The following is a 17,656-nucleotide window of genomic DNA, read 5'->3' as shown; positions in this document are numbered from 1 at the left end:
TTCTTCTTTGAGCACAAATTATGCATTTTGCTAGCTGGTTCCAACCAGGGGAAGCACATGTTTCTAAGAGGTTTCCCGCAGAGTCAGGCTGAGTTTTGAACTGATTTTCCTGCAGGGATGGCCAAATGGCCCACAAGTGGCTTCACATTCCATCAAAGGCTGAATATCTGAACTCGAGATGAAATTCCCAATGATGGGTCATGAATAATCAAATTCTTTAAAAAAAATTCACTCACTCTAAAAAGGCCTTCTCCTGAAGCAGCATCCCTCTTTTAATAGGTTTTGGTTTTCTGGTGTGAGGTAATATAGACATTTCCCCCCCTCTTCCATATACAGATGATGCATTTCCAGTATTTTCTTATATATGCAGAACAGGGAAGGAATGCTAACTTGGAATGAGGGGCTCCTACCATATGCCCCAAGCATAAAACTAATTAATATTTGGCCCATGTTCTTCTAACTTTCCAGGAAATATTAGCCTCACTGCTCCCGCGTCTTCAAAACAACATATAACCAAACTCCCAAAACAAGACCAATTAGATTAACAAACTTTTATTATTTCATCCCCATCCCCCATCCTAACTTCTACAAACACCACAATTCTTTGATGAGAACTCCTAATGATTTATTGACTGAAATCCAATCAAGAAATATAGTATCAGAGAGTTATATAATTGTTAGAAAACTGTTTTAAAATGAAATTTTATATTTTAGAACAATGAGGTTTACCAAAAAATTGAATGGATAGTTCAGAAAGTTTTTATATATCCCCTCTCTTTTCCCTATTGTTAACATCTGGCATTAGTGTAGTACATTTGTTACAATAGATGAATCAATTTTGATACATTATTATTAATAGTTCATATTTTACATAAGGATGAGTCTTTCTGTTCCAGAGTTGTATGTTTTTTTCCACAAATACATAGTACCATGTAGCATAATCTTATGTAACATTAATTACTGTGTCATATACAATAGTTTCACTGCTCTAAAAGTCCTCTGTGCTCTGTCCATCCATCCATACTTCCCCCAGACCCCTTGCAACACTTATCTTTTTCCTGTATCCACAGTTTTGTTTTTTCCAGGATGTCATGCAGCTGGAATCACACAGTATGCAGCCTTTTCAGATTGGCTTCTTTCACTTCACAATATACATTTAAATTTCCTCCATGTCTTCCAATGGCTTGATAAATCATTTATTTTTAACACTAAATAATATTCCACTGTATGCATGTGCCACACTTTATCCATTTAATTTCTGAAGGACTTTCTGATTAAGTCTATGTTTTGGAATGTATGAAAAATCTACTGTGAACATAAGTTTCCAAATCAGCAGAGTTAACACCAAGAAACACAATTGCCAGATCATATGATAAGATTATGTTCAATATTGTAAGAAACTGTCAAACTGTATTCCAAAGTGGCTGTACAAGAGAGTGTGCTTTTGTCTGTAACGGATCGATAGAAATGAAAGAAATTGTAAAAACTGAATATAAAAGTCAATCATCTTTTCAAAGAATAGCTGAAATAATGACTAGCATTTATAAGGTTTTATTACATTCATCATTTTACTTGATTTTAAAATCTTACAAGAAAAAAAGTATGTATTAAGTCAAATTTTATAAAAAAGAAAGTTGGTCCTCAGAAGCATTGTATGATTGACAGAAATTCACATGGTGTTTACGTGGAGCTGAAACTGATGATCAGTTCTTATGGGCCAGCCCTCTCCTTCTCTTCTGATTTGTTGTGTTTTTTGTACCTCAACATCTTCTTGGTTGGAAATGCTCCCTCATATTATCTGGCACATACTGTTGTCCAAGACAGTCTGACAAGATTGAGGAGATGTTGAGCCTCCAGCTGAAGAGCCTCGGAAAAGCTGTTCCTGGATTTCAACTGAAAACCCTGCTCTGTTAGGCAAGACCTGGTCTATTTTCTTGATTAAGTGCTCAGCCCAATGCCAAGTTGAGCTGTTCTATTTGGCTAAATATTTTGTCAAATACCCAGCAGCTTTTTTCAGTACAAAAGGAGGTGTGGCTATCTTTCATTCACCCACCATCTTCAGTCGCTGCAGAACGTCACTGAACCCGGCTTGGATTTTGTTAAACCAATGACAGTACAAAGCCTGGCACAGCAGCTTGTAGAGGTGGCCTGAGGGGTTTGGGATGTGGTCCTGGTTTTTACTACTGTGTCTACAGTTTAGGCCAAACATTTTTTCTCCAGTTCTTAGCCACTTAAAAAGAAATCATACTAAGTGTATAGAACACCCTTGACGTAGCCAACTCCATCTTAGAAAAAGACTTTATTTTATATTTCATAGAGCACTTTTCCAACAAGGATAAGATGTGTTGTCTACTAAACAAATTAAAAAATAAAAGACTGTATCCAACCAGATAAGGACTCAAACAAGCACACTCTTCCATGATCAGTTCTCATGGGAGGACTCTGTAACCGTAAAAGAGCAGGCCTTCAGCAGCTCGAAATAGCCATGTTAACTGATGCCATCTTGCAGTCACTGGTGATGAAAACTTGGCATCTGCTGCTGAAGTCTCTGCCACCTCAGAGACTCTTTCTTGCAAGACCAGTGGACCACCCGGCCTGGACCAGGACCGCTTTTCTCTTCTTCTCTCCCCTTGGACTGGTTTGTGATCCTTTCTCCTATCCCTTTTCCTTCTTGTGTTAAATGTTAGTTTGTTTGTTGTGAAATGTTAAACCTATAACATTTACATATTGATTAAGTATACTATTATGTATGGTTTGCAATATTGACTGACTTGTGGAGTGGCTTGAGTCTGTGTGCCCACAACGCTGACTACCAAGTGAATGAAAAGTACTAAGGAGAGTTGCCCCCTTGGGAACTCTATGTAGCTCATGGTGGCTTTTGTGATTGAAACAGCATCAATAAAATCCTGACATTGTGGAAAGACACAAGCATTTGTGGTCCTGGTTATTTCTAACTTTGCACCGCTCATGACACTAAGTCATTTACAAGGGTTTCCAGTTCTAATTTTCACATGAAAAGCTGGGTATTTCCTTCCCACTTTGCAATGCTATCCAATGCAAAAGCCAGTGCTATAGAGAAGGAAAAATATGACGCTGTCTACTACTTTTTTAAAAGAGAAAAGTTGGTAGAAATAGCTCCAACAACACTAACATCTGCACAGGGATCCCAAAAGTTTAAAAATGCTAGTGAATTGGAGAAGAAGCTGTAAAGTGATTACAGAAACTGCTAGTTAATAGGGCATTTCTTTCTCAACTACCTTTTGCTGTGTCTTCCAATGTAACAGTTAGTTACCATATTAAAAAACTAACATTACAGACTCCCTCCCCCATAAAGATTTAGTCTTGGCATTTCTACAAAACACATGATTCATTTTTTTTTAGCTCCAAATGTAGATAAAGGAGGAGTGTTTTCAGTGGTTACTCAAAGAAGAGATATTTGGATTTTCTAAATCTTGGTGTAAGTCTATGTAGATTTTTCTTTTACAGTTTTATGACAGTTTAGTCTCTTTCATATGTCTTTCAAACCTTGGCATCCCTAAATCTTTGACAAGCCAATTGATGGATTGTTTAAACAATATAGTCAAAATCACCAGTTCTTATGGAGCCATTGAAAATGGGCAGAATATGTAATATTAACTCAACATTTTGGGGCATTCATATACACAAACTGCAATCAGAGAAGTGATATGAGAGAAGACTTGGAATCAGTAGAAACAAAAGAAGAATAAACATGAGTGGTGTTTCTAGAACTCTGGCATTATTTGTGTGTGACTGTTACAGCAACTTCCCATTTTTGATGGGGGTACTGTTGATACACCATTTAGCACAGCTGGTATTGAAAGTTCCTGTCAGCATCATCCGTGGTATCCATGATACGACCCCATATATGCCTGAACAGGATGTGGAGGTTTTAGACCATCAGAATTCTTTCCTCATCACACCACATGTCCCCTAACATCTTGCCACAACTCTCTTCAAGGCACCCATCACATCCCTGTTCCTCAGACTGTAGATGAGAGGGTTTAATAAGGGTGTGAGGATGGTATAAAAGGCAGAGAAGACCTTATCTTTGATTGGGGTGTGGTAAGATTGGGGAAGCGTATACGTATACAAGGCAGCCCCATAGAACAATGTCACCACCATCATGTGTGAAGAGCAGGTGGCAAAGGCCTTCTTCCTCCCTTCAGCCGATGTCATCTGATGCACTGTGATGAGAATCCTGGTGTAGGATGCAGTCACCACCGAGAAGGGGATCAGCAGCATTGCAACGCAGCACACATACATCACTGTTTCATAGGTGGTTTTGTCCCCACAGGCCAGCCTCAGCATGGTGGGTGCCTCACAGAAAAAGTGATTGATTTGGTGAGAGGCACAGAACGGGAGACTCATGGTAATGGGGGTGAGGAGAAAACTGTCCAAAGCCCCACCGAACCAAGAGCTGGCCAGGATCATCCAGCAGACCCGCCAGCTGATGAGGACAGGATAGCGCAGTGGGTTGCAGATGGCCACGTAGCGGTCATAGGCCATGAGCCCCAGCAGGAAGAATTCAGCCCCCATAAAGCCCATGTAGAGAAAGCACTGAGCAGTGCAGGCGATGAAAGAGATGGTCCCCTCGCCCATGAGATAATCTACCAGCATCTTGGGCACAATGGTGGAGATGTATAATGTGTCAATGACGGAGAGGTGGCTGAGGAGGAAGTACATGGGGGTGTGGAGATGAGGGTCTATGTTAATCAGGAAGATCATGACCCCATTAGCTATCATGGCCATGAAGAAGACGGCACAAATGACACCGAAAAAGAATCCTGAGCATTTATTGTGAGTGAAGAGCCCCATGAGGGTAAAGCCTCTGGTCAAGGTTTCATTGTTTTCATTCATGGTACTGAGTTTGAAATGGAGGCATAAGAAGAGAAGCAGGGTCAATGAAAATGACAAAAGATAAATCACTTAAACATGTCTGTGTAAACATTATTAGATTAAAATCTTTTATGTAGCTAATATAAAACTTTTTTTGGTGTGGTAGATTTGTAGCTTCCTTTTTCTTGGCTATTTCTTTTTGATGAAGAATAATTTCAACATTAGGACCCCATGGGATGAAGATGAATGAATGTTTGGCAATTGATACTTGGCTTAAGGGAGTTTCATTATGATTGAAGAAAATCTGGGCCCTAGAGAGGATCCTTCATTTGGAGTTGGCTCCATTTACTTAAAATGTGGATACAACTGAAAGACTATTGATCCAATCAATTCAAACAACCCAATAAAATAATTCAATAGGCCATTGGCTCAAATTGGGAATTTCTGTGATAATTTTAAAACCTATTGGTCTCATCCAGAAATAACCATAAATTGTAGACACAACTGAAAACTATGTTGAACTGTAATAAACATGATTACATTATCTGCCTGATCATTGGTCATTCTTATGTGTTCCCTCACCATTTGTCAATTTCTCATCCATTTGCACACTTAATCTTTATTTATGGAGAGAGTACTGTGCAGTGTTCTAAGCTCTGGGGATACTGTAGTAAATAAAAAGAATATGAATCATGTGACTTACATTCTAGTTATGAAATAAGCACAGTAAATCAAAAGTGGGAACCATGGTTCCAGGTAATGCAAATAAGGGCTTTGCGGAAAACTTCAACACAGACAATGAAAGATAAAAGAAAATTCATGTGAAGATTTAGGGCTAGGGTGTTCCTACAAAATAAATAGCAAATGTGACATCCCTAAAGCAAAAAGGAGTTTGGGATAGTCAGGAAACAAAAGTCAGTTCAGGAAGAGAATTGCAAGTGATGAAGACAGTGAGATATTAGTGATCAGTTCTTCAAGGTATGCAGGCCGGGGTAAAGAGAACAGAATTATTTTCTAAGTGTTATCAGTAGAATTGAGTTGCAGTTTGTAACATGTAACAGTTTAACTTTAACATGTTCATTATGATCTTTCTGTTTTTTTCTTTTTATCTCTTTGGTACATTTGAGTCATTTTTTGTTTTTGCTTAGTGTTGTATTTTTGTGGGTCTTGAAGGCTTAGACTGGGATAGACCAGGTTGTGCTTTCTGTCCTAATGTCCTCCTCATTTCACTCAAAACTTCCTGATTTGGTTGGTCAGTCGTAAGCCTTGGAGATGGTGACTGAAGGAAATGCATAAAAGATCTTGTAGGCCAGAGGCAGGAAACCATACACAATCTTAGATAGCTATGGGTGGTGCATTCACATCTTGAATACACGATGAATATAAGAATATCTTTTAAAAGTTTCCTCATCAGGTTTAACACTCTTTGAAATCCAACTTGAATTTCGAATTCTTGGACCCTTCTGTGTGCACTCAGGTGTTACACCAGACAGAGAGGCAGATGATGTAGCAGTAAGTGCACAGAGCCGGCAGCCAGCTTCCAGAACACCGTTTTGGAGTAGGGGGTTGCTCAATTCTGAAATACTTGCACTGAGAATGCTTGTTTGGGGTTCTGGCTTCATCATTTGCAATGTGCCCTAATGCACATTACTTAAAAACTTAGAGCCCGTTTCCTGATCTATAATTAGGATATCACAGGAAACTTACGGGATGTTGTCATGATCAAACGTCATGTAACATATGCAAAGGACCACAGCTGAGTAAATTCAAATGCTAATCTATGATAAGCTGTTGCGCTTGTGAGAGAATGCTGATAATGAGGACACACAATATCTTGCCGAAGGCAATATTGCATTTCTTAGCTACTGTGTGTATACCACAGGCACAAACAATAGGAGACACACTCTAAAAAGCACGTGTCACCTGTTGAGCACTAGGGGACACACTCTAAAATTATGTGTCACCTGTTGAACACTAACTAGGCAGGGCTGCAGGCTTGTGCATTGTCTTGTGAGTTATTTAAAATGATAAAATCTCAGAACATTCTTCCTGATCATGCAAATAATTGCCATTAGAGGAATCTTTTAGCAAAAGATATGGACTCGTAAAAGACTAGTTTCTGGGAAAACTGATTCCAGGAAGAAGACTGTCATTTCCTAAGTTCACTCTCAGATTAAACAGTGACTATCAAGATGTTAGGTAATAGCATTACATGAACAACAGGGCCTAAAAAATAATTTGCAAGTGTCTACATATTCTCCAGGGTGGCCTGTTTCAAACTTCTCAGTACATGCTCACGAAACCACAGAAACGATTCAATTTTTTATCTATACTGAAAATTAAAAATCTTGAGTACTAGAAAAAGATGAACCCTAGCGACTCCTCAGTAGAGAAAAGCCTCTTCGGTTTTGGCCAGCACATGTACAAGGTCTCTCATGGCGTGAACCACTCAGAAAAAGGATTGGCTGTGTGTCTCTGTGCCAGATTTTCTCTGCAGCAGGGTCTGCTTCTCTGCTTTCCCCATTCTTACCCTCCCCTAGCCAAGAAATTATGGAGAAAAAGGGTAGAGTTTTGCAAGTAGACCAACAAAGGAGGTTCTTGAAGGAGTGTTCTCAGCACAGTGAACAGGAGACTTCATTTAGGAAAGTGAGAAATACACAGACACAAGGAAAAATGCTAGCTAACAAGAAATCGAAACTTTTCCTTTCTAAGTTTTTCCTTCTCTTTCAACAAAAATTCAAACATAACTGCACAGTTTTGCTTACCGGTTTAGAAGAGGCTGAGTGGATCAGGTGGTGAGGGGAAAAACGGGCTGAAGATTTATTCTGTCCACTGTCCACCCAAAATGCAGATCCTCCATCTAATGGGTAGCATCTCATCTAACGAGCTCCTCGTGAGGACCTGATGAATCAGAAGGAGCTTCCCGCAATGTCAATGGGAGCAGAAACAGACGATAACATTAGGGAGCACTTCAGGAGAGGATGAACACACTCAGGCTAGTGCAGTGCTTTCTCCATGATGATAACACTAGGAAACACTTCAGGATAGGATGAGCACACTCAGGCTAGTGCAGTGCTTTCTCCATGATGATAACACTAGGAAACACATCAGGATAGGATGAGCACACTCAGGGTAGTGCAGTGCTTTACCCATGACAATAACATTAGGAAACACTTCAGGAGAGGATGAGCACACTCAGGCTAGTGCAGTGCTTTCTCCATGATGATAACACTAGGAAACACACCAGGATAGGATGAGCACACTCAGGCTAGTGCAGTGCTTTCTCCATGATGATAACACTAGGAAACACATCAGGATAGGATGAGCACACTCAGGCTAGTGCAGTGCTTTACCCATGACAATAACATTAGGAAACACTTCAGGAGAGGATGAGCACACTCAGGCTAGTGCAGTGCTTTCTCCATGATGATAACACTAGGAAACACTTCAGGATAGGATGAGCACACTCAGGCTAGTGCAGTGCTTTACCCATGACAATAACACTAGGAAACACATCAGGATAGGATGAGCACACTCAGGCTAGTGCAGTGCTTTACCCATGATGATAACACTAGGAAACACTTCAGGATAGGATGAACACACTCAGGCTAGTGCAGTGCTTTCTCCATGATGATAACACTAGGAAACACTTCAGGATAGGATGAGCACACTCAGGCTAGTGCAGTGCTTTACCCATGACAATAACATTAGGAAACACTTCAGGAGAGGATGAGCACACTCAGGCTAGTGCAGTGCTTTCTCCATGATGATAACACTAGGAAACACATCAGGATAGGATGAGCACACTCAGGCTAGTGCAGTGCTTTCTCCATGATGATAACACTAGGAAACACTTCAGGATAGGATGAGCACACTCAGGCTAGTGCAGTGCTTTCTCCATGACGATAACACTAGGAAACACATCAGGATAGGATGAGCACACTCAGGCTAGTGCAGTGCTTTACCCATGACAATAACATTAGGAAACACTTCAGGATAGGATGAGCACACTCAGGCTAGTGCAGTGCTTTACCCATGACAATAACATTAGGAAACACTTCAGGAGAGGATGAGCACACTCAGGCTAGTGCAGTGCTTTCTCCATGATGATAACACTAGGAAACACATCAGGATAGGATGAGCACACTCAGGCTAGTGCAGTGCTTTCTCCATGATGATAACACTAGGAAACACTTCAGGATAGGATGAGCACACTCAGGCTAGTGCAGTGCTTTCTCCATGACGATAACACTAGGAAACACATCAGGATAGGATGAGCACACTCAGGCTAGTGCAGTGCTTTACCCATGACAATAACATTAGGAAACACATCAGGATAGGATGAGCACACTCAGGCTAGTGCAGTGCTTTCTCCATGATGATAACACTAGGATACACTTCAGGATAGGATGAACACACTCAGGCTAGTGCAGTGCTTTCTCCATGATGATAACACTAGGAAACACACCAGGATAGGATGAGCACACTCAGGCTAGTGCAGTGCTTTCTCCATGATGATAACACTAGGAAACACATTAGGATAGGATGAGCACACTCAGGCTAGTGCAGTGCTTTCTCCATGATGATAACACTAGGAAACACTTCAGGAGAGGGTGAACACACTCAGGCAAGTGCGGTGCTTTACCCATGACAATTAAAAACAGTTCCAGGATGAGACGTTACAAGAAAGGCTGCAAAGAAGAGCGCTGAAGACATAAAATTTTGTTAGGGTTGTGGAGGATAAAACTTGAGTAGCTCTCCAGGATGCAGAAAGGCAGATATTAAATGGTAAGAAAGATAGACATGGGCCGGGCACGGTGGCTCACCCCTGTAATCCCAGCATTTTGGGAGGCCAAAGTGGGTGGATCACCTGAGGTCAGGAGTTCAAGACCAGCCTGGCCAACATGGTGAAACCCTGTCTCTACAAAAGTTAGCCAGGCATGATGGCGGGTGCCTGTAGTCCCAGCTACTCTGGAGGCTGAGGTGGGAGGATCGCTTGAACCAGGGAGGCAGGGGTTGCAGTGAGCTGAGATTGCACCATTGAACTCCAGCCTGGGCAACAAAGCAAGTCTCCATCTAAAAAAAAAAAAAAAGAAAGAAAGAAAGGTAGACATGGAGTATTGGAATTACAAAAGCAAAATATAAATAATCAGTGTTTTAAAAAGAGTGATTTCACAAATAGGAGAGAATTATTAATAAAAATTGAAAAGGAAAACTTGGGAAAGGAACAAAAAGACTCTGTATATGGATGTTTCATTTCATTAATAAATACACTGTGTGTGTCTGGGAAAGTTATTTGAAGTAAAAGCATCTGGCAGCATCTAATAAAAACATAGTTGCATGCAAACAAAACACAAGAAAAGGAAAACACAGTCACCTACACAGGCTAAAATTCACACTGACCACAGGTGTCTTCCTGATAAATTCCAAATAAAAGTGAAAAAATGTCTAAACTGAAGATATACAATGTTGCAGTAAAAAGAGAGAGCTCTGGAGCCAGAATTTCCTTGGGTTTGACCCTTTCTCCACCACCAAATTGTGTGGCCACGGATACTGAAATTACTTTTGTATCCATTTCCCCCATTTGCTCTGTAATAATAGAAAGGGCCCAAGTTTCAAAGTTTACATCATTCACACACATCAGTTTCTTAGACTAGTATCTAGAATGTGCTATCTGTTCAGTAAAACTTATTATCGATATCATTAGATACATTTTAGTTGAGAGTAATGTGTGGCTCAAACAGGAAGACATTCTGAGATAAATTAGGGGGGATAAACAGTAAGATACAGCTGAATATTTTTGTAGATGAAACAAAATTAAGAAAAGGGAAGAAACTGTAATATTACTAACAGTAAACGTTGAATTCAGGTTAAATATATATATATTTAAAAATAATGTAAATATGATTGCCTTATTGCATAGAACTCAAAAGATTCTTATCAACAAAGACATATATATGTAGAAATAGATAGATACATATATATCTATGACATCTAATCTGTAGACACAGACATACCTATCTCTGTCTATACAGAAAACAGGGTCTGAAAATGGAATGCTAATACTATACATGCAAAACAAATTCTATTTAAATAGAATGTAAAATTAAGAAGTACCAGAAAGCAGCTTTCATTCATTTATGTATTTATACATTCAAGTATTTATTGTGATCCAGTATTCACTAGACATTTTTCTAGGAGCAGAAGATACCATTAACAATATTCCCTCTTTCTTGGAACATACAGGGCAAAGGGCTGATTATAAATAAAAACATATACAATTATGAAGAATCTAACATTTTTTCTAAGTAAATGAGCCAGAAAAAAAAATACATTTTTTTTTTCTGGAGCCTATGACTCCAACACAGAGGCAACTATAAGAATAAGAACAATTTTGAAAAAGATTAACCAAATCAGTTACTGGTATTAAAATGAGTTAAAAGAATGTTTGTATGTGTGTACATGTGTGTTTGGGTGTCTATTAAAATGGTTTAAAATAATGAAAGAAAAAAAGGCATAACAGCACAGGAAATTAACGCGAAGCATATGATGAAATGAGATAGAAACAACTAGGTTAATCATGGCTACAACATCATTCAGAGTAAACATCCGCTTTCAAAGTGTAGATTTACTCTTCAAAGAAAACAAAACAAAATGTACAAAATGGAAAAGAAAACTAAAAAAATGCAAAAAGGAATGACATAGTATATATAAACTACAATATGAGGTGATATTATAAATGGAACAAAGAGAACAATTCTGTAATTTGGATTTTAAATGGAAATGCATTATGTGCTTAATATATTCAGTTAGCTTCCATAGGACAATCTCTTTTTTTTTTTTTACTAAAATATATTAGAATTCTAAAATCATAATAATAGGTTCACATCTAAATCAGAGAATTTGAAATACTTTAACGTATGCCTAAAACACTACTTAGACCAAAGGAAGTTCAAACTTTCATTAAATTAAATATATTATGTATGGAAGCCTATAGGATATAGCTAAAGATGTATCCAGACAAAATTTTATAACCTCTAATAATGTAATTCTTATAGAAAAAATATGTGATGTTAATAAAGATTCAACCCAATACATTAGAAAAATATCTGCAAAATACATTTAAATAAGAGAAAGACCATATAAAAGACTTAAATAGATATTAATGGATTTTAAAATAAGCAGACTGAATATTTAAAGTTGATTCTTTAAAACTGAAACAAAATAGACCTATTTCTGGCCATGCTAATGATATTTGAGGGCAGAAAGGATGACACAAAACATCATTAAAAGTAAGAAAAATGATCCAACTACAGATATGAGAAGAGTGATAAAATATTTATAGTATGAGAAGTTATTTTAACATTATATTAATATAGTTTGAAATTTTAATGAAGAAGACGATTTTAAAGTATAGTTTTGTATGAGTGCATGCATACACATAATATGCATATATAGTTATAAGTAGATATAATGCATACACACAAATATAGTCAAAATTCTTAATATGCATATATAATTATAAGTAGATATAATACATACACACATACAGTTAAAATTCTTAATATTCATATATAATTATAAGTAGATATAATGCATACACACACATATAGGTGGGGGGAGGGACAGCATTAGGAGATATACCCAATGTAAATGACGAGTTAACGGGTGCAGCACACCAACATGGCACATGTATAAATATGTAATAAACCTGCACGTTGTGCACATGTACCCTAGAACTTAAAGTATGATAAAAATAAATCAAAAAAAAGAAAATACCAAAGAAGATCTCTAAATTTGGAACAATTTAAAAGTTTTAATGGAATTCTGCTTTCCCAAAATTCCTAGTTCAGAAAACATCCCATAAAAATCTTCTAAGGACAGAAAATTTAAAAATCTTTGTACACAAAAAAATGGAATTAATTAATCATTTATTTTATAAATATATATAGCCTTCAAAAGACAGAAAACTCTCATAATTATAAACCAAGTTCACATATATAAATATTTCCCAAATGAATATTAATTATTGAACTCAGAAGTATATTAATAACAACACATCTTCAAACCTGTTCATATAAACTCCCTCTTTTCCCATTCTATCCCCCTTCAAAGATTCTTGGTTGTTTGTGAGCTAAAGATCAAGTTTTGATTGTGGTTTGTATGTCCCTAAGTGACCTGGATACTCAGCTCTCTACTCTGCAGCACTCTGTCAATTCCTGGCACCTCTCTCCCAGAAAATAGCCTGACTCAGGAGCTCTCTCTGCCTGGAGCACAATTCTCTCTTCATCTGGTTACTGTAGACCCAGGTCTCAGGTCACTTATACTTCTTGCAGGAATCCCCTATGGTTTTAATAACAATGTCAAATGCCCCAGCATATATGAACAAGTAGTTACTCATAATATCAACAACATATCAACAAAAATATTTCTTTTTCTTTTTCTTTTCCTTTTTGAGACAGGAACTTGCTCTGTTCCTCGGGCTGGAGCACAGTGGCACGATCACTGCTCATTGTAGCCTCAACCTTTTGGGCTCAAGCAATTGTCCTACCTCAGCCTCCTGCGTAGCTGGGACTATAGGCACAGACCACCATATCCAGCTTATGTTTTTGTATTTTTTGTAGAAACAGGGTCTTGCCATGTTGTCCAGGCTGGTCTTGAACTTCTGGCCTGAAGAAATCTTCCTGTCTTGGTCTCCCAAAGTATTGGGATTACAGACATGAGCTACCGCACCCAGACACAAAAAAAATTTCTATATAATAACAATAAAAATGGTAAAATAACTGGTAATATGCTAAACTTTTGGAGAACATTTATAAAACTAAATAATTCAGTATTAATTTAAAAAGCAATAGAAAATTATTCTAGAGGAATTTGTCAAAATGATTATAAATTTGATCTGAAAGGACAAACACATATGAATTGTCTGGGGAAAAACAATGCTAAAAATTGACTTTGACCTCTGTAGGACCAGTGTGAAATGTAAAGGATGAGTAACTGAATAGAAAAAACAAGGCTCAACAACTAAACGGAAGAGTATCTGGAAATAAACACTGCTGTCTCCCGCCAAAATACAAAAAAACCCACATATGCGCAAATGTTTCACACAAGTAAGATGAGAATTCGGATAACTGGGAAAGGTAGAGTTTATATATATGAAGAAAACAAAATTGCAACTTAGAGGTAAAGAGTAAGACTTTAAAACGCACACTCCAGATCAAGTGGCTCAAAAACTTAAGTACAAGAAATAAATACATTTCTTTATGAAAACTTTTTTATGATGTTTGAGTCTCTTTAATGAAAAGGTATGTTGTTTGTATTCTGAAAAAATGCTAAAGTAATGACAATAAATTAGGATTTTTATTGTGAAGAAGCGGGGAACATCACACACTGCTAGTGTAAGTACAAATTGAAACCATTTTTTTCTGTAAGCGTCTGGCATTTAGCAAACTTAAAAAATCCATCTTTTAGCCATTTTCATCAGTTTATTCTGAGGAAATAAATAGTATGAAGTGGGAATAATATATGAAGACATTAAATAAATTATTGCCATTGATTGTGAAAATAAACTAGAAACAATCTTAATGATCAACATTAATGGGTTGACTAAATCAAACATTGCTCAATTTACATTATACTCATTGATAATGGTGTAGCTTAGTTGTCTTTTCATGTAAAGATATACATAATATATTTTTAAGTAGGAAACATAGCACTGCCTGTTTACAAACATATATGTGCATAGATAAATTATAATCACGTGTAGTCAGCCTGGAAAGTTTTGGGTTGGGATAGGAAAAAAATGCGCCCAAAGGCAGAAATGAAGCTCAAGGTAGAGCAATCAGGAGATTTTGCTGAACTGAATGGAGATTGAAGAATCAGGAATACACTTTACCAGAGCATCCGTGAATCTGATTATTTATTTTACTCATCACATACTATGAACTTTGTATTTCATGCCTTTCCAAATAAGATGGACCACACTCGGATGGTTACCAGAGTTTAATGAAGACATCTTGAGTCTTTCTGTGACGCGCTCTGACAGGGGCGAGCCCCATGCTGCCCTTGCCCTCATGACACCTCTTCAACTTGTTTCTACAACTCTCTTTGTTGTTTTTATTTGCTGCATGCTTCTGCCTCCTCAAATATAATATGAGCTCTTTGAGGGTAGAGTCATCCTCTAAATAGTCCTTATATCAACAGCCATTAGCACAGCCTTGTATGTATTAGGTGGTCTATACATCAATTGATTACTCCTAGAACACTTTATCTTTTCCCATTTCAAACTCATACTAATAATTTGAGAGCACAAATGACAGAAGATTTGCTTTGATATCTTCTATGATATTGCATTGTGACAAGTGGCTAACTTTGAAGACCACTTAAATGCAAATAAAACTGATCTTTGGAAAAGAAAGCAAGCTAATGACGCAGTCCAGAAGGCAATAGGAATATGTAGGCCACTTGGTCCCTTCTAACCTCACAGGAAGTGTTATGCCCGTGCTTTCAACATAGCCAGACTGACAACATCTGACCAACCAACCATCACACGATAGCAAGAATGTTCCTGTCTTTCAGATACTGTCTCTTAGTGTGTCCAAAATGGGTCACAAAAAGCAATCAATAAAATAAGTTCACAAAAGAGTGACTGAATCTATCAAAATGCTATCAGGGTAGTTGACCATTTTTAAACATTTTTTCAAGAAAGTGATGTTTGTTTTAAATAAGTGAGTGGCACTTATGAATAAGAGCTCAACATTTATATACTCATAGACATAAAGATGGCAACAACAGAAAATAGAGACTGCTAGAAGGAAGATAGAGGGGCAAGGATCAAAAACTAACTATTGGGTATATGCTAGGTGCCTGTATGATGGGATCATTTACACCCCAAACCTCACCGTCACAAAATATTACCAGCTAACAAACCTGCACATGTACCACCTGAATCTAAAATAAAAGTTGAAAAAAATTTAAAAATTAAAAAAATTAAATACATACATGAGTGGGTATTTTATAGATGAAACAACAGAAAATGTACAGCCTTCCTCAAGTGTTTCCATGGTTATTGATGCCCAACTGGTGACTCCATTTAATTGTAAAAGTTCCACTTTTCCCTGAAAAATGTATTTTTAAGTGTGCTAAATGAAGAGTTTGACAGTATTCAGGAACAGTTCAACAGTAACCTATGTTTTTAGTTTTGACAACTAAGTTTTTGTCTAGTCTTTCCTTTGTTAGTTCAGTTAAAAGTATTTACCTCTGTACTCCTGGATTATGCTTAATTCATTTCCTTCAATCAAATCTTCTTAAAGTAAACATGCCAATTACTCATACCTCCACCAAAATTCCTACCTTCCAATCCCATTCGATTTAATTATTTTGATCATCTTACCTAATTCCCTGTAACTTAGAAGATATCACATTTGTGGGAACTGAACATGCACAAAATATCTGAATTATCTTAAATGAGTGAACTTCCCTATTTGTTTTTCTCCTACTCACACACATTATCTAAGAGAGCCAAATGGCTTTCTTACTGTGAGTATGGAGATATAAGTTGATGATAGTGGATCACTTACAGGTATAATATATCCAGAGAGAGGAATATTAGGTAAAGACAAAATTGTTTACAAACAACTTCACAAGAGGTGAGACCTTAGAAACAAGAGATAAAAGGGAACCTTCTTGATCTTCTTTTTTTCTGTCTTCATATTAGTATCTTTCCTTGAAAAGATGAGAGGAGATCCAGGTTAAAAGGCAAAAGCTTCAAAAAAAAAAAGAGAGTGCCAGTTAGAGGTATTTGAAGATGACCACTTAACTGAAGGCATGGATGTCATACTTCAGCACTGTGCACACAGCTCCAGGAACCAAAGAGGGAAGAGTTTAAGTAATCTAGTATGTGACATCATAAACATCCTGAGATTTCTCATGGAGAAAACTCCTTCTAATAATCCAGAAGGAATATCAACTAAACTGGTTCTGATGGGTACTGAAAACTGTACTCAAAACATGTAAGTGGCAAGCAGAGAATGTGTTCCACAACAAATGCCTGGGCTGCCTCCTCTGCAGTTTGTTTGTTTGTTTTGTTTTTAATTAACAGCTTGAGAACAGCTGTTTAATGCATGTTTCATCACAAAACTCTGTTGTTTGTTTCCCTAGAGGGCAAATGAGTAATATTGGAAAAATACCCAAGGAAGAGAAGAGAAGTTTTTTATGTGGTCATTTAATTTCTCACTTTAACAATAGTCATGATCTAATCTTTTCATTTTTCTCTTGCATTAAGCAGCTTCCCAATAAACATCACTCATTTACTAAATGTCACTAAGAAAAACTTTTAATTGCCAATTCAGTAAAGGTACCAAACAATCTTTTAAGAAAATATATCAGGCAGGCTCTTGATGAACAGGTTAGTGTAAAAATCCAACTTATGGAAACTATTGCTACAAAACCCTTTTGAACACATGATAAGAGATGAAGTTGATGAAAATCACTTTATACTCGATGGGTGGCTCTCATTCTCCTGAGCTCAGGCGACCTGCCTGCCTCGGCCCCCGAAACTGCTGGCATTATAGGCGTGAGCCACTGTGACCGGCCTGGTTGCATTCTCTTGATGCATAAGGTGTACGGTTATGAATCATTTTTGTTTAGTCTTCTCATAGTAATATATATGAATGTAAATTATATTGTATTACCGATGTATCAACTTTAAATGATAAATCTATGCCTGGTTTAAAAGATGAAATTAACACGTGCATATGTGCTGTTTTCCAACATTCTATTTTTTTGCCTGCTAAGTTTT

The 17,656-nt window shown here is 37.4% G+C and overlaps 1 protein-coding gene across 1 annotated transcript; it reads right to left on the bottom strand.

The window, feature by feature from the left end:
• Positions 1-675: 675 nt before the first annotated feature.
• OR2T6 (olfactory receptor family 2 subfamily T member 6) lies at positions 676-16,741 on the bottom strand. The gene is made up of 3 exons (NM_001005471.2): positions 16,433-16,741; positions 7,623-7,776; positions 676-4,882 (listed from the first exon to the last, which is right to left on the bottom strand). The coding sequence occupies exon 3, from the start codon at positions 4,876-4,878 to the stop codon at positions 3,952-3,954; it is 927 nt and encodes a 308-aa protein (NP_001005471.1). The 5' UTR covers positions 4,879-4,882; positions 7,623-7,776; positions 16,433-16,741; the 3' UTR covers positions 676-3,951.
• Between the last annotated feature and the right edge of the window lie 915 nt (positions 16,742-17,656).

The sequence above is a fragment of the Homo sapiens genome, chromosome 1, assembly GCF_000001405.40.
Source record: "Homo sapiens chromosome 1, GRCh38.p14 Primary Assembly".
Classification (NCBI taxonomy): domain Eukaryota; kingdom Metazoa; phylum Chordata; class Mammalia; order Primates; family Hominidae; genus Homo; species Homo sapiens.
Note: the sequence above shows the minus strand (reverse complement) of the source record. Positions and strands in the feature narration are given on the sequence as shown.

Coding starts and splice junctions, on each gene's coding strand:
- OR2T6 (NM_001005471.2), bottom strand. CDS start 4,878: ATGAATGAAAACAATGAAACCTTGACCAGAGGCTTTACCCTCATGGGG.